Below are 13,858 nucleotides of genomic sequence, written 5' to 3' on the forward strand. Positions count from 1 at the left end.
GTGAGCCAAGATGTCGCCATTGCACTCCAGCCTGGGTGACAAGAACGAAACCCCATCTCAAACCCCCCCCCCCAAAAAAAAAGTAATACACAGCACGCTCGAGGACTCACAAGATGACGGCAACCCGTGGGGAGACGGGCTCGAGAACTCGCGAGATGACGGTGGCCATTGAGGAGCTGGGCTTGAGGACTCGCGAGATGACTGCGGCCAATGGGGAGCCAGGCTTGAGGACTCGCGAGATGACACCTGCCGGTGGGACGCGGGCTTGAGGACTCACGAGGCGATGGCGGCTGGTGGGGAGCATGGCGGCCCTTGCTAGGGGCGTTCTACAGTGCGACTGAGGAGGCCCAGGGTGTCCCGTTTGTTTCATCACCAGCAAGAGGCAGGCAGTGGTGCTGTCCGCGGTGGCATTCTTGGAGTGACTGGCGACAGAATACGTTCGTGACGGAACCGGGGTCTGAGGAGAGCTCTCCGCCTGCAGAAATGAGTGAACAGACTGCTGCATTAGATACCTCGTCGCCACGCAATAAGGCGCCTGCCCGTTCTGACAGGACTGTATCCAACAATGACTTGGCAAGTATCTTCCAGTGTCCGGTCTGCTTAGACTATGCGTTACCACCAATTCTTCAGTGTGAGAGAGGCCATCTTGTTTGTAGAAGCTGTCACTCAAAGCTCACATCTTGTCCAACTTGCCGCGGCCCCTTGGGATTGATTCGCAACTTGGCTATGGAGAAAGTGGCTAAGTTTGTACTTTTCCCGTGTAGATATGCCTGTTTGGGATGTGAAATCACTCTGCCACACACAGAAAAAGCAGATCACGAAGAAGTCTGTGAGTTTAGGCTTTATTCCTGCCCGTGCCCTGGTACTGTCTGTAAATGGCAAGGCACCATGGATGCTATAATGCCTCATCTGACTAAAATGCATGAGTACATTACAACAATAGAGGGAGAGGATATAATTTTCCTTGCTACCAGCATTAATCTTGTTGGCGCTTACGATTGGGTGATGATACAGTCCTGTTTTGGCGTTCGCTTCATGTTAGTCTTGCAGAAACAGGAAGATCACAATGGCGGCCAGCAGTTCTTCGCAGTCGTACAGCTGCTGGGAGCAAGCAAGGAAGCTGAAAATTTTGCTTACCAACTTGAGCTAAAGGGTAATCGGCGACGACTGACTTGGGAAGCGACTCCTCTACCTATTCATGAGGACATAGCAAAAGCCATTAAGAATAGAGACTGCTTAATCTTTGACGCCAACACTGCGCTGCTTTTTGCAGAAAATGACGATTTAAGCATCAATGTAGTTATTAGTAAGCGTTGAAATGGCAGTGGAACATTTTCTAGCCAGTGTTTAAAACTGTTTAATTTCACAGAAAATAAGCCACCCATCTGCCTGCCAACCTGAAACTCTTCACAAGTATAAGCTCAACAAATAGAGATAAAAAGAAAGACTGTTGAATACAGGAAACAGTTGTGTGTAGTAACATTAGTATATATAAAGATGAGCATATTTTGCATTAAGAAAGCATTATAAAATAATTTTGAATTTTGTGTTGTAGATTGATTGTATTGTTGAAAAATAATGTTTTGTTTTGTTTTGTTTTTGGGTCTGTGAGTGTGTGTGTATGTGTGTGTGTGTTTTGGTTTTTTTTTTTCTTTTTTCTTTTTTTTTTTTTTTTTTTTTTTTTTTGAGACGGAGTCTAGCTCTGTCGCCCAGGCTGGAGTGCAGTGGCGCGATCTCGGCTCACTGCAAACTCCGCCTTCTGGGGTCACACCATTCTCCTGCCTCAGCCTCCCGAGTAGCTGGGACTACAGGCACCCATCACCTCACCATGTTAGCCAGGATGGTCTGGATCTCCTGACCTAGTGATCCGCCCACCTCGGCCTCCCAAAGTGCTAGGATTACAGGCGTGAGCCACCGAGCTCGGCTGTTTTTTTTTTTTTTTTTTCCTTTAACTGACAAGCCATTTTGAGTGGTCATGGACCACTGCTTTTCCGCTTTGTGAGTCAATACGTAGTGCTACTATGTGGGGTTTTTTTTGTGTGTATTTGCTAGTTTTTTCTTCTAGTTTTTCATTAAATAGATTTGACTTTCTGTTCTGTAATTCAGGTTGCATCTCACTGTTTTGTACCGTTTTAAAGTTAGTGTCTTCTGATATGCATAATTGTTTATGGTAAAATTTATAACATGTGTTCCATACATGTTCTCTTTTCCCCCATTAATTGGTTCATTGGAAATTTTTTTTTTTTTTTGGACAGAGACTCTGTCGCCCAGGCTGGAGTGCAGTGGCGAGATTTTGGCTCACTGCAACCTCCGCCTCCTGGCTGGGTTCAAGCAATTCTCCTGTCTCAGCATCCCAAGTAGCTGGGACTACAGGCGCCCGCTACCACACCTGGCTAATTTTTGTATTTTTAGTAAAGACGGGGTTTCACCATATTGGTCAGGCTGGTCTTGAACTCCTGATCTCAGGTAGTCCACCCTCCTCGGCTTCCTAAAGTACTGGGATTACAGGTGTGAGCCACCATGCCCAGCCAGAAATATTTTAAAATCAGCTGTTTTGTGAAGATAGGAGTTCCAGAAAGTAAAGGTGACATCGGAAAAATTACCAAAAGCTATTTAAAACATCTATAAGATGGTCTTCCCATCTTTCTCTCTTCTACAGATGAGTCATATCTTTGAGATTAATTTTTGAAAGCTTAGAGAATAAATAGATGTTTACAAATACTGAAAATCATTCCTTTTACAAGTATCTTGGACAAATTACGTTTAAAATTTGTTCTTGTGTTTATTGATTGTAAAGGCATTGTCATGCACAGAACTTAATTAAAAGCAAATCATTTGTTTAAAAAGGCACTTTGCAAAAACTGTTTTGGTCTTTCATAATTCTCATTAAAAGAATATATGGCAAATTAAAAAAGAAAGTAAAGAGAATAAATGTTGTAGCTTGGCTCAGTAAACGGCTCTAGCAGCAATGCTGGACTCGTCTTTAAGAAGTGTATAAAATACACATTTTATTTATCCAGTCTATCATTGATGGGCATTTGAACTCATTCCATGTCTTTGCTATTGTGAATAGTGCTGCAATGAACATATACATACATGTATCTTTATAATAGAATGATATATATTCCTTTGGGTATATATCCAGTAATAGGATTGCTGGGTCAAATGGTATTTCTGCTTCTAGATCTTTGAGGAATCGCCACACTGTCTTCCACAATGGTTGAACTAATTTGCATTCACACCAACATTGTAAAAGCATTCCTTTTTCTCCACAACCTGGTCAGGATCTGTTTCTTGACTTTTCAATAATTGCCATTCTGACTGGTGTGAGATGGTATCTCATTGTGGTTTTGATTTGCATTTCTCTAATGATCAGTGATGTTGAGCTTTTTTTTCATATGCTTGTTGGCTGCATGAATGTCTTTTGAGAAGTGTCTGTTCATGTTGTCCTTTGCCCACTTTTTAATGGGGTTTTTTTTTCTTCTAAATTTGTTTACGTTTCTTACAGATGCTGGATATTAGACCTCTGTCAGATGGGTAGATTGCAAAAATTTCCTCTCATTCTGTAGGTTGTCTGTTCACGCTGATGATAGTTTCTTTTGCTGTGCGGAAGCTCTTTAGATTAATTAGATCCCATTTGTCAATTTTGGCTTTTGTTGTTAATTGCTTTTGGTGCTTTTATCATGAAATCTTTGTCCATGCCTATGTCCTGAATGGTATTGCCTAGATTTTCTTCTAGGGTTTTTATCATTTTGGGTTTTGCAGTTAAGTCTTTAATCCATCTTGAGTTAATTTTTGTATAAGGTGAAAGGAAGGGGTCCAGTTTCAGTTTTCTGCATATGACTAGCCAGTTCTCTCAGCACCATTTATTGAACAGGGAATATGCAGCCATAAAAAGGAATGAGATCATATCCATTGCAGGGACAGGGATGGAGCTGGAAGCCATTATCCTCAGCAAACTAATGCAGGAACAGAAAACCAAACACAGCATATTCCATAAGTGGAAGCTGAACGATGAGAGCACATGGACACCTGGGGGGAACAACACACACTGGGGCCTGTTAGGGAGGTGGGAGAAGGGAGAGCATCAGGAAGAATAGCTAATGGATACTGGACTTAATACCCAGGTGGCAGGATGATCTGTGCAGCAAACCACCATGGCACATGTTTACCTATGTAACAAACCTGCACATCCTGCATATGTGCCCCAGAACTTAAAATAAAAGTTGATGAAAAAACAGTGTATAAAGTACACATTTTAAAAAGAAAAGCACCAATGCAGGGAAAGGCATGAAAAGTGGTAAATGAGAGGTACAATTTGTAAGTAATGCAGCTCGGGAAAAAAACAAAACCCTCATTTGGACAATCCTAACAAAGAAACTGAGACTTGGAGCATTCATCTTTAGGTGAGAGATTCATAACCAAAGTCTTGTAGCTGGTAAGTTGTATCACAGTATAATTTGTTTTTTTTAAAAATTTAAGTGATACGTGATTATTTACTTTCATAACTTAAAAAAGTTACAAACCAGTTAGAGAAAAGCAATATTTGGATAAACCTACACATGTCACACAAGATTTGTGGACTTTATAATAAGGAAGCCTAATCACTAATTCAAATACTATGACATGCTTGCAAGAATTAAAAGTGCATATCTTCCATTTTCTTTTAATTCTAGTCAGTTTTATATCTAGCATATAATTAGTCATTGGTTCCTTTCTCCAACTCACCTGTTTAATTGGTATTGCATTTTTTTTTATTTTATTATACTTTAAGTTCTGGGATACATGTGCAGAATGTGCAGTTTTGTTACATAGGTATACATGTGCCATGCTGATTTGCTGCACCCATCAACCCATCATCTACATTAGGTATTTTTCCTAATGCTTTCCCTCCCCTAGGCCCCCACCCACCGACAGGCCCTGCTGTGTGATGTTCCCTTCCCTGTGTCCATGTTCTCATTGTTCAACTCCCATTTATGAGTGAGAACATGCGGTGTTTGGTTTTCTGTTCCTGTTATTTTGCTGAGAACAATGGCTTCCAGCTTCATACATGTCCCTGCGAAGGACATGAACTCAACCTTTTTTATGGCTGCACAGTATTCCATGGTGTATATGTGCCACATTTTCTTTATCCAGTCTGTCATTGATGGGCATTTGGATTGGTTCCAAGTCTTTGTTCTTGTGAATAGGGCTGCAATAAACATACGTGTGCATGTGTCTTTATAGTAGAATGATTTATAGTCCTTTGGGTATATACCCAGTAATGGGATTGCTGGGTCAAATGGTATTTCTGGTTCTAGATCCTTGAGGAATCACCACACTGTCTTCCACAATGGTTGAACTAATTTACACTCCCACCAACAGTGTAAATGCATTCCTATTTCTCTATATCCTCTCCAGCATCTGTTGTTTCCTGACTTTTTAATGATCGCCATTCTAACTGGTGCAAAATGGTATCTTGTTGTGGTTTTGATTTGCATTTCTCTAATGACCAGTGATGATGAGCGTCTTCTCATATGCTTATTGGCCACATAAGTATCTTCTTTTGAGAAGTGCCTGTTCTTATCCTTTGCCCACTTTTTGATGAGATTGTTTGTTTGTTTTTTTCTTGTAAATTTGTTTAAGTTCCTTGTAGATTCTGGATATTAGCCCTTTGTCAGATGGATAGATTGCAAAAATTTTCTCCCATTCTGTAGGTTGCCTGTTCACTCTGATGATAGTTTCTTTTGCGGAAGCTCTTTAGTTTAATTAGATCCCATTTGTCAATTTTGGCTTTTGTTGCCATTGCTTTTTGTGTTTTAGTCATGAAGTCTTTGCCCATGCCTGTGTCCTCAATGGTATTGCCTAGGGCTTCTTCTAGGGTTTTTATGGTTTTAAGTCTTATGCTTAAGTCTTTAATGCATCTTGAGTTAATTTTTCTATAAGGTGTAAGGAAGGGGTCCAGTTTCAGTTTTCTGCATATGGCTGGCCAGTTTTCCCAACACCGTTTATTAAATAGGGAATCCTTTCCCCATTGCTTGTTTTTGTCAGGTTTGTCAAAGGTCAGATGGTTGTAGATGTGCGGCATTATTTCTGAGGCATCTGTTCTGTTCCATTGGTCTATATATCTGTTTTGGTATCAGTACCATGCTCTTTTGGTTACTGTAGCCTTGTAGTTTAGTTTGAAGTCAGGTAGTGTGATGCCTCCAGCTTTGTTCTTTTTGCTTAGTATTGTCTTGGCTATAAGGGCTCTTTTTTGGTTCCATATGAAATTTAAAGTAGTTTATTCTAATTCTCTGAAGAAAGTCAATGGTAGATTGATGGGGATAGCATTGAATCTATAAATTACTTTGGGCAGTATGGCCAGTTCCATGATACTGGTCCTTCCTATCCATAAGCATGGAATATTTTTCCATTTGTTTGTGTCCTCCCTTATTTCCTTGAGCAGTGGTTTATAATTCTCCTTGAAGAGGTCCTTCACATCCCTTGTAAGTTGTATTCCTAGGTATTTTATTCTGTTTGTAGCAATTGTGAATGGGAGTTCATTCATGATTTGGCTCTCTGTCTATTATTCGTGTATAGGAATGCTTGTGATTTTTGCACATTGGTTTTTTATCCTGAGACTTTGCTGAAGTTGCTTATTAGCTTAAGGATATTTTGGGCTGAGACGATGGGGTTTTCTAAGTATAGAATCATGTCATCTGCAAACAGAGATGATTTGACTTCCTCTCTTCCTATTCGAATACCCTTTATTTCTTTCTCTTGCCTGATTGCCCTGGCCAGAACTTCCAATACTGTCTTGAATACGAGTGGTGAGAGAGAGTATCCTTGTCTTGTGCCAGTTTTCAAAGGGAATGCTTCCAGCTTTTGCCCATTCAGTATGATACTGGCTGTGGGTTTGTCATAAACAGCTCTTATTATTTTGAGATACGTTCCATCAATACCTAGTTTATTAAGAGTTTATAGCATGAAGTGGTGGGATTTGATAAAATCCAAAGGCCTTTCCTGCATCTATTGAGATAATAATATGGTTTTTGTAATTGGTTCTGTTAATGTCATGGATTACATTTATTGATTTGCATATGTTGAACTAGCCTTGCATCCCAGGGATGAAGCTGACTTGATCGTAGTGGATAAGCTTTTTGCTGTGCTGCTGGATTCGGTTTGCCAGTATTTTATTGAGGATTTTCACATTGATATTCATCAGGGATATTGGCCTGAAATTTTCTTTTTTTGTTGTGTCTCTGCCAGGTTTTGGTATCAGGATGATGCTGGCCTCATAAAATGAGTTAGGGAGGAGTCCCTCTTTTTCTATTGTTTGGAATTGTTTCAGAAGGAATGGTACCAGCTCCTCTTTGTACCTCTGGTAGAATTCAGCTGTGAATTCATCTGATCCTGGGCTTTTTTTGGTTCGCAGGCTATGAATTACTGCCTCAATTTCAGAACTTGTTATTGGTCTATTCAGGAATTCGACTTCTTCCGAGTTCAGCCTTGGGAGGGTGTATGTGTCTAGGAATTTGTCCATTTCTTCTATATTTTCTAGGTTATTTGCATAGAGGTGTTTATAATATTCTCTGATGGTAGTTTGTATTTCTGTGGGATCAGTGGTGATATCCCCTATATCATTTTTTATTGTGCCTATTTGATTATTCTCTCTTTACTTCTTTGTTAGTCTGGCTAGCAGTCTATCTATTTTATTAATCTTTTCAAAAAAACAGCTGCTGGATTCATTGATTTTTTTGAAATGTTTTTTGTGTCCCTATCTCCTTCAGTTCTGCTCTGATCTTAGTTATTTCTTGTCTTCTGCTAGCTTTTGAATGTGTTTGCTCTTGCTTCTCTAGTTCTTTTAATTGTGATGTTAGGATGTCGATTTTAGATCTTTCCCACTTTTTTCTGTGGGCATTTAGTGCTATCAATTTCCCTCTAAACACTGCTTTAGCTGTGTCCCAGAGATTCTGGTATGTTGTGTCTTTGTTCTCATCGGTTTCAAAGAATTTATTTATTTCTGCCTTAATTTTGTTATTTACCCAGTAGTTATTCAGGAGCAGGTTGTTCAGTTTCCAGGTAGTTGTGTGGTTTTTAGTGAGTTTCTTAATCCTGAGTTCTAGTTAGATTGCACTGTGGTCTGAGAGACTGTTATGATTTCCGTTCTTTTGCATTTGCTGAGTAGTGTTTTACTTCCAATTACGTGTTCAATTTTAGAATAAGTGGGACAGGGTGCTGAGTAGAATGTATATTCTATTGATTTGGGGTGGAGAGTTCTGTAAATGTCTATTAGGTCCTCTAGGTCCAGAGCTGAGTTCAAGTTCTGAATATACTTGTTAATTTTCTGTCTCATTGATCTGTTTAATATTGACAGTGGGGTGTTAAAATCTCCCACTGTTATTGTATGGGAGTCTAAGTCTCTTTGTAGGTCTCTAAGAACTTGCTTTACGAATCTGGGTGTTCCTGTATTGGGTGCATATATATTTAGGATAGTTAGCTCTTCTTGTTGCATTGATCCCTTTATCATTATGTAATGCCCTTCTTTGTCTTTTTTGATCTTTGTTGGTTTAAAGTCTGCTTTATCAGAGACTAGGATTGCAACCCCTGCTCTTTTTTTGCTCTCCATTTGCTTGGTAAATATTTGTCCATCCCTTTATTTTGAGCCTATGTGTGTCTTTGCACGTGAGATGGTTCTCCTGAATATAGCACACTGATGGGTCTTGACTCTATCCAATTTGCCAGTCTGTGTCTTTTAATTGGGGTAGTTAGCCCACTTACATTTAATATTGTTATGCATAAATTTGATCCTGTCATTATGATGCTAGCCAGTTATTTTGCCCATTAGTTGATGCAGTTTCTTCATACAATTTGGTATGTTTTTACAGTGGCTTGTACCGGTTTTTCCTTTCCATATTTAGTGCTTCCTTCAGGAGGTCTTGTAAGGGAGGCCTGGTGGTGGCAAAATCTCTCAACATTTGCTTGTCTGTAAATGATTTTATTTCTCCTTCGCTTATGAAGCTTAGTTTGGCTGGATATGAAATTCTGGGTTGGAAATTATTTTCTCTAAGAGTGTTGAATATTGGCCCCCACTCTCTTCTGGCTTGTATGGTTTCTGCAGAGATCCGCTGTTAGTCTGATGGGCTTCCCTTTGTGGGTAACCCGACCTTTCTTTCTGGCTGCCCTTAACATTTTTCCTTCATTTCAACCTTGGTGAATCTGACGATTATGTGTCTTGGGGTTGCTCTTCTCGAGGACTATCTTTGTGGTGTTCTCTGGATTTCCTGAATTTGAATGTTGGCCTGTCTTGCTAGGTTGGGAAGTTCTCCTGGATAATATCCTGCAGAGTGTTTTCCAACTTGGTTCCATTCTCCCCGTCACTTTCAGGTACACCAATCAAACGTAGGTTTGGTCTTTTCTCATTGTCCCATATTTCTTGGAGGCTTGTTTGTTCCTTTTCATTCTTTTTTATCTAATCTTGTCTTCACACTTTATTCCATTAAGTTGATCTTCAATCTCTGACATCCTTCCACTTGATTGATTAGGCTATTGATACTTGTGTAAGCTTCACAAAGTTCTTGTGCTGTGTTTTTCAGTTCCATCGGGTCATTTATGTCCTTCTCTAAACTGGTTATTCTAGTTAGCAATTCCTCTAACCTTTTTTCAAGGTTCTTAGCTTCCTTGTATTGGGTTAGAACATGCTCCTTTAGTTCAGAGGAATTTATTATTACCCACCTTCTGAAGCCTACTTCTGTCAATTTATCAAACTCATTCTCTGTCCAGTTTTGTTCCCTTGCTGGCAAGGAGTTGTGATCCTTTGGAGGAGAAGAGGTATTCTGGTTTTCAGAATTTTCAGCCTTTTTGCTCTGGTTTTTCCTTATCTTTGTGGATTTATCTATCTTTGGTCTTTGATGCTGGTGACTTTTGGATGGGGTTTGTATGGACATCCTTTTTGTTGATGTTGCCCCTATTCCTTTGTGTTTGTTAGTTTTCCTTCTAACAGTCAGGCCTCTCTGCTGCAGGTCTGCTGGAGTTTGCTGGAGGTCCACTCCAAAGCCTGTTTGCCTGGGTATCATCAGTGGAGGCTGCAGAACAGCAAAGACTGCTGCCTATTCCTTCCTCTGGAAGCTTTATCCCAGAGGGGCGCCTACCAGATGCCAGCCGGAGCTTTCCTGTATGAGGTGTCTGTCGACCCCTGCTAGGAGGTGTCTCCCAGTCAGGAGGCATGAGGGTCAGGGTCCCACTTGAGGAGGCAGTCTGTCCCTTAGCAGAGCTCGAGTGCTGCGCTGGGAGATCCGTTGCTGTCTTCAGAACCAGCAGGCAGGAACCTTTAAGTCCACTGAAGCTGTGCCCACAGCCGCCCCTTCTCCCGCTTGCTGTGTCCCAGGGAGATGGGAGTTTTATCTATAAGCCCCTGACTTTCTTTCAGAGATGCCCTGCTCAGAGAGGAGGAATCTAGAGAGGCAGTCTGGCTACACTGGCTTTGCCAAGCTGCGGTGGGCTCCACCCAGTTCAAACTTCCCGGTGGCTTTGTTCACACTTTGAGGGAAAAACCACCTACTCAAGCCTCAGTAATGGCAGACGCCCCTCCCCGCACCAAGCTTGAGCGTCCCAGGTCGACTTCAGACTGCTGTGCTGGCAGCAAGAATTTCAAGCCAGTGGATCTTAACTTGCTGGGCTCTGTGGGGGTGGAATCCACTGAACTAGACCACTTGAGTCCCTGGTTTCAGCCCCCTTTCCAGGGGAGTGAACGGTTCTGTCTCACTGGCATTCCAGGCACCACTGGGGTATGAAAAAAAACTCCTGCAGCTAGCTCCATGTCTGCCCAAATGGCCGCCCAGTTTTGTGCTTGAAACCCAGGGCTCTGGTGGTGTAGGTTCCTGAGGGAATCTCCTGGTCTGTGGGTTGCAAAGACCGTGGGAAAAGCATAGTATCTGGGCCGGAATGCAGCATTCCTCACTGCACAGTCCCTCACAGCTTCCCTTGGCTAGGGGAGGGAGTTCCCCCACCCCTTGTGCTTCCCAGGTGATGCGACACCCCACCCTGCTTTGGCTCACCCTCCATGGGCTGCACCCACTGTCTAACCAGTCCCAATGAGATGAGCTGGGAACCTCAGTTGGAAATGCAGAAATCACCTGCCTTCTGCGTTGATCTCACTGGGAGCTGCAGACCAGAGCTGTTCCTATTCGGCCATCTTGCCAGCCACTCCGGTATTGCATTTTTATCATCCCTAAGAAATAGAAATTGGATAAGCATTTGTAGAACACTTAAAAAGCCCTAGATGAGTATAACAAGACCATATATTGTAAATCTAAATGAGAAATTAGGCATTTATCTTTAAAAAATAAATGAATAAAGAGCTTCCATAGTTATGGAAGCAATTATATTTAGCAGCTTATATTTTAGTAAAACAAAAAGGTTCTAAACAATATATGTTCGAACTATGCCACTAATTTCTACATAATTTTTTTCCAATGAAAAACCTTTTTCTTGGCAATGTCATTTTAATTTTATTTCTAAACAATTGCTCTTTTAATTGGATCTTTATTGGTTATTAAGTATTATGAAAGAGGCAGGTAGTCTGCTTCTTGTACAATTATTACAAAGAATAACAACAAACCCGGAAACCTGTCTGCAATGAACCTCAAACCAAATGTTGTGGTAATGATTATAAGAAGAAAACAATGTTCCTGAAAAATTATCAGTAATGTTTTTTCACAGGAGTGTAAATGTGATTACTTTAATCCCTGTATTCCACTACTCAGACCATGGGAATCTTACTCAAAAGGAAACGGAAATAAATAAAAACTTGGCTAGGGTGCTTAAGTTTTTCAGAGTCATGGAAAAATTCTGGAATGATTTGAAAAAGGCTTCTGTGTAACAGAATAATTGTAATAAGAGAATGTAAATCTCTTCTTTAATTAAAGGAGATTTTTAGTCTATCTAAAGAGAGTGTTGGGGAAAAATCTAATAGGAATAGTAAATGTAGCTATTAAGATTTTCAGTAGCACGAGATTTTATTTTGACAAATGAAGTATTTTTCTGCTAAACACTTTTTAAAGTAGTTTATTTTTTTAAAAACATACATATTTTTGAAACCAGGAAAAAAAATTCCCTAGTAAACAAATCATTTTTTTAAGTTAGAGATTGTTTTTCTCTTCTTTTCTCCTATTCCTTAAAATCTACATATAAAGACACAAGTTTAAGGCTGAGAAACATAATTTTACAATAGTCATTTTTCTATTAAATACAATTTTTAAAATATTTACTGAATGTTTGTCCTGTGCTAAGCATATGCTAAATACTTCCCATTCACCCTCTTAGTTTACACCTGCAATGAACATATGAGGTACTCATTAGACCCATTTTAAAGCTGAGCAATCTGAGGCTTAGAGAAGCTTTGGCTAACAGCCCAAATCATGCAGTTACTAAGTGGCCAAGGCGTATACCTTCCCCTGGCATAGAATATTAAAAAGGACATATTAAGTCATGTGCAAATATCACCAAATCTGCTGCAGAATACATAGGATTTTAATGGTAAAAATAGCAAAATAATTCAAAGGGTGCTCATTGGTCACCTAAACTACTTTATCTTTTAGAAAACCTTCAAAAGCCAGTTTCCTTGGGAACAGGAAAATCTGACAGTCTTTGCTATTATTGCACTTGGTCCCCTCACACCCACCCTGCTTCCTCCACTGGCTTCATGCTTCTCCTCTCCCTATCACTAAGGAGGAGTACTGTTAAGAAAAATCTCTGTGTGACTTCGATTTCATCAACTTGTCAATTTCATGGAAGCAGGTTAATTCTGTAGAGAAGTTTTTGTTGTTGCTGATGATAAGTATTTGGTCTATACACGTTATATTACACAGGATCAAATGAATTTTAATAAAGTTTTGTTTCTCTAATATCATACTACTCTGTAAACTCTGAGTAGTGAGACTAAAGATGAAAGCCTGAAGGATCCTCCTAAGCCTCCTCTAATACTCCTACTCTTACCATTTTCCTACTTTCTTCCTTCTTTTCTCTCTTCATCTCCTTTTATCTATATTTTAACCTTATGTCTAAATCACTTTCTTACACTTTATCTACCCTCCAATAGGGGATCAAAAATAATGTGAAGAGAAGGAAATTGTATGGCTGATAGTGAACAGTGATAGTATAATCTAGTGTATTGGTAGGTTACATCTGCCTTTACTGTGCATAATACAACAATCATCCCCCACCAGTTTTAGGTTTATAATTTCTCCCCAAAATAGGGTAATCTTGAAAGTATGTCTTTGGGGTATTTTTACCACCCCTGAACAAAACTTGTATGCTACATATTTTATTTCCTAAGGGTCGTGTTTATTAAGCATCCTATAGTTAAAACCAACTAATAAACCAAAACTAAATTCATCTAATTTGGCTTTCTCGCAAGGATAGAATCTCATGGGGTCTTTTCAACATCCTTGGAAGCACATGAGGTTCATGGCTATCTAGAATCCCAGGATCTAAGTACCTAAGATTGGCAGCCATAATTCTAGCTTTGTAAGTTAATTTTCTTCTTCCTTCTTTTTTTATTTTTTTAAAATATGTTGGTTGTACTCGTTGTTCTTTCTATACCACATTGTTAACATAAAATGAGCATAACAGAGATACCATGTATAACAAAAGATGATTATTAAAATCTACAGGATTCAGAATTGTGTTATAGAAAACAGTAATGTTTTAGTTTTAGGAACAAATGCATGGGTTTTTTTTTTTTTTCTGCAGCAAAATGTCAAAGCAGTGTTAGTTCAGGTCCCTATTAAAACTACATGCTCTTCCTGATCCATAGAAGAGAAAAAGATAAATTGGAATTCATCAAAATGTAAAAGTTCTCTTCAAAAAAACACAGTTAAGACCATGAAATAACAAG

General features: G+C 39.7%; 1 pseudogene; it reads left to right on the forward strand.

Moving 5' to 3' along the window:
- Positions 281 to 2,914, forward strand: SIAH1P1 (siah E3 ubiquitin protein ligase 1 pseudogene 1; annotated as a pseudogene).

Source organism: Homo sapiens, chromosome X (genome assembly GCF_000001405.40).
Source record: "Homo sapiens chromosome X, GRCh38.p14 Primary Assembly".
Classification (NCBI taxonomy): domain Eukaryota; kingdom Metazoa; phylum Chordata; class Mammalia; order Primates; family Hominidae; genus Homo; species Homo sapiens.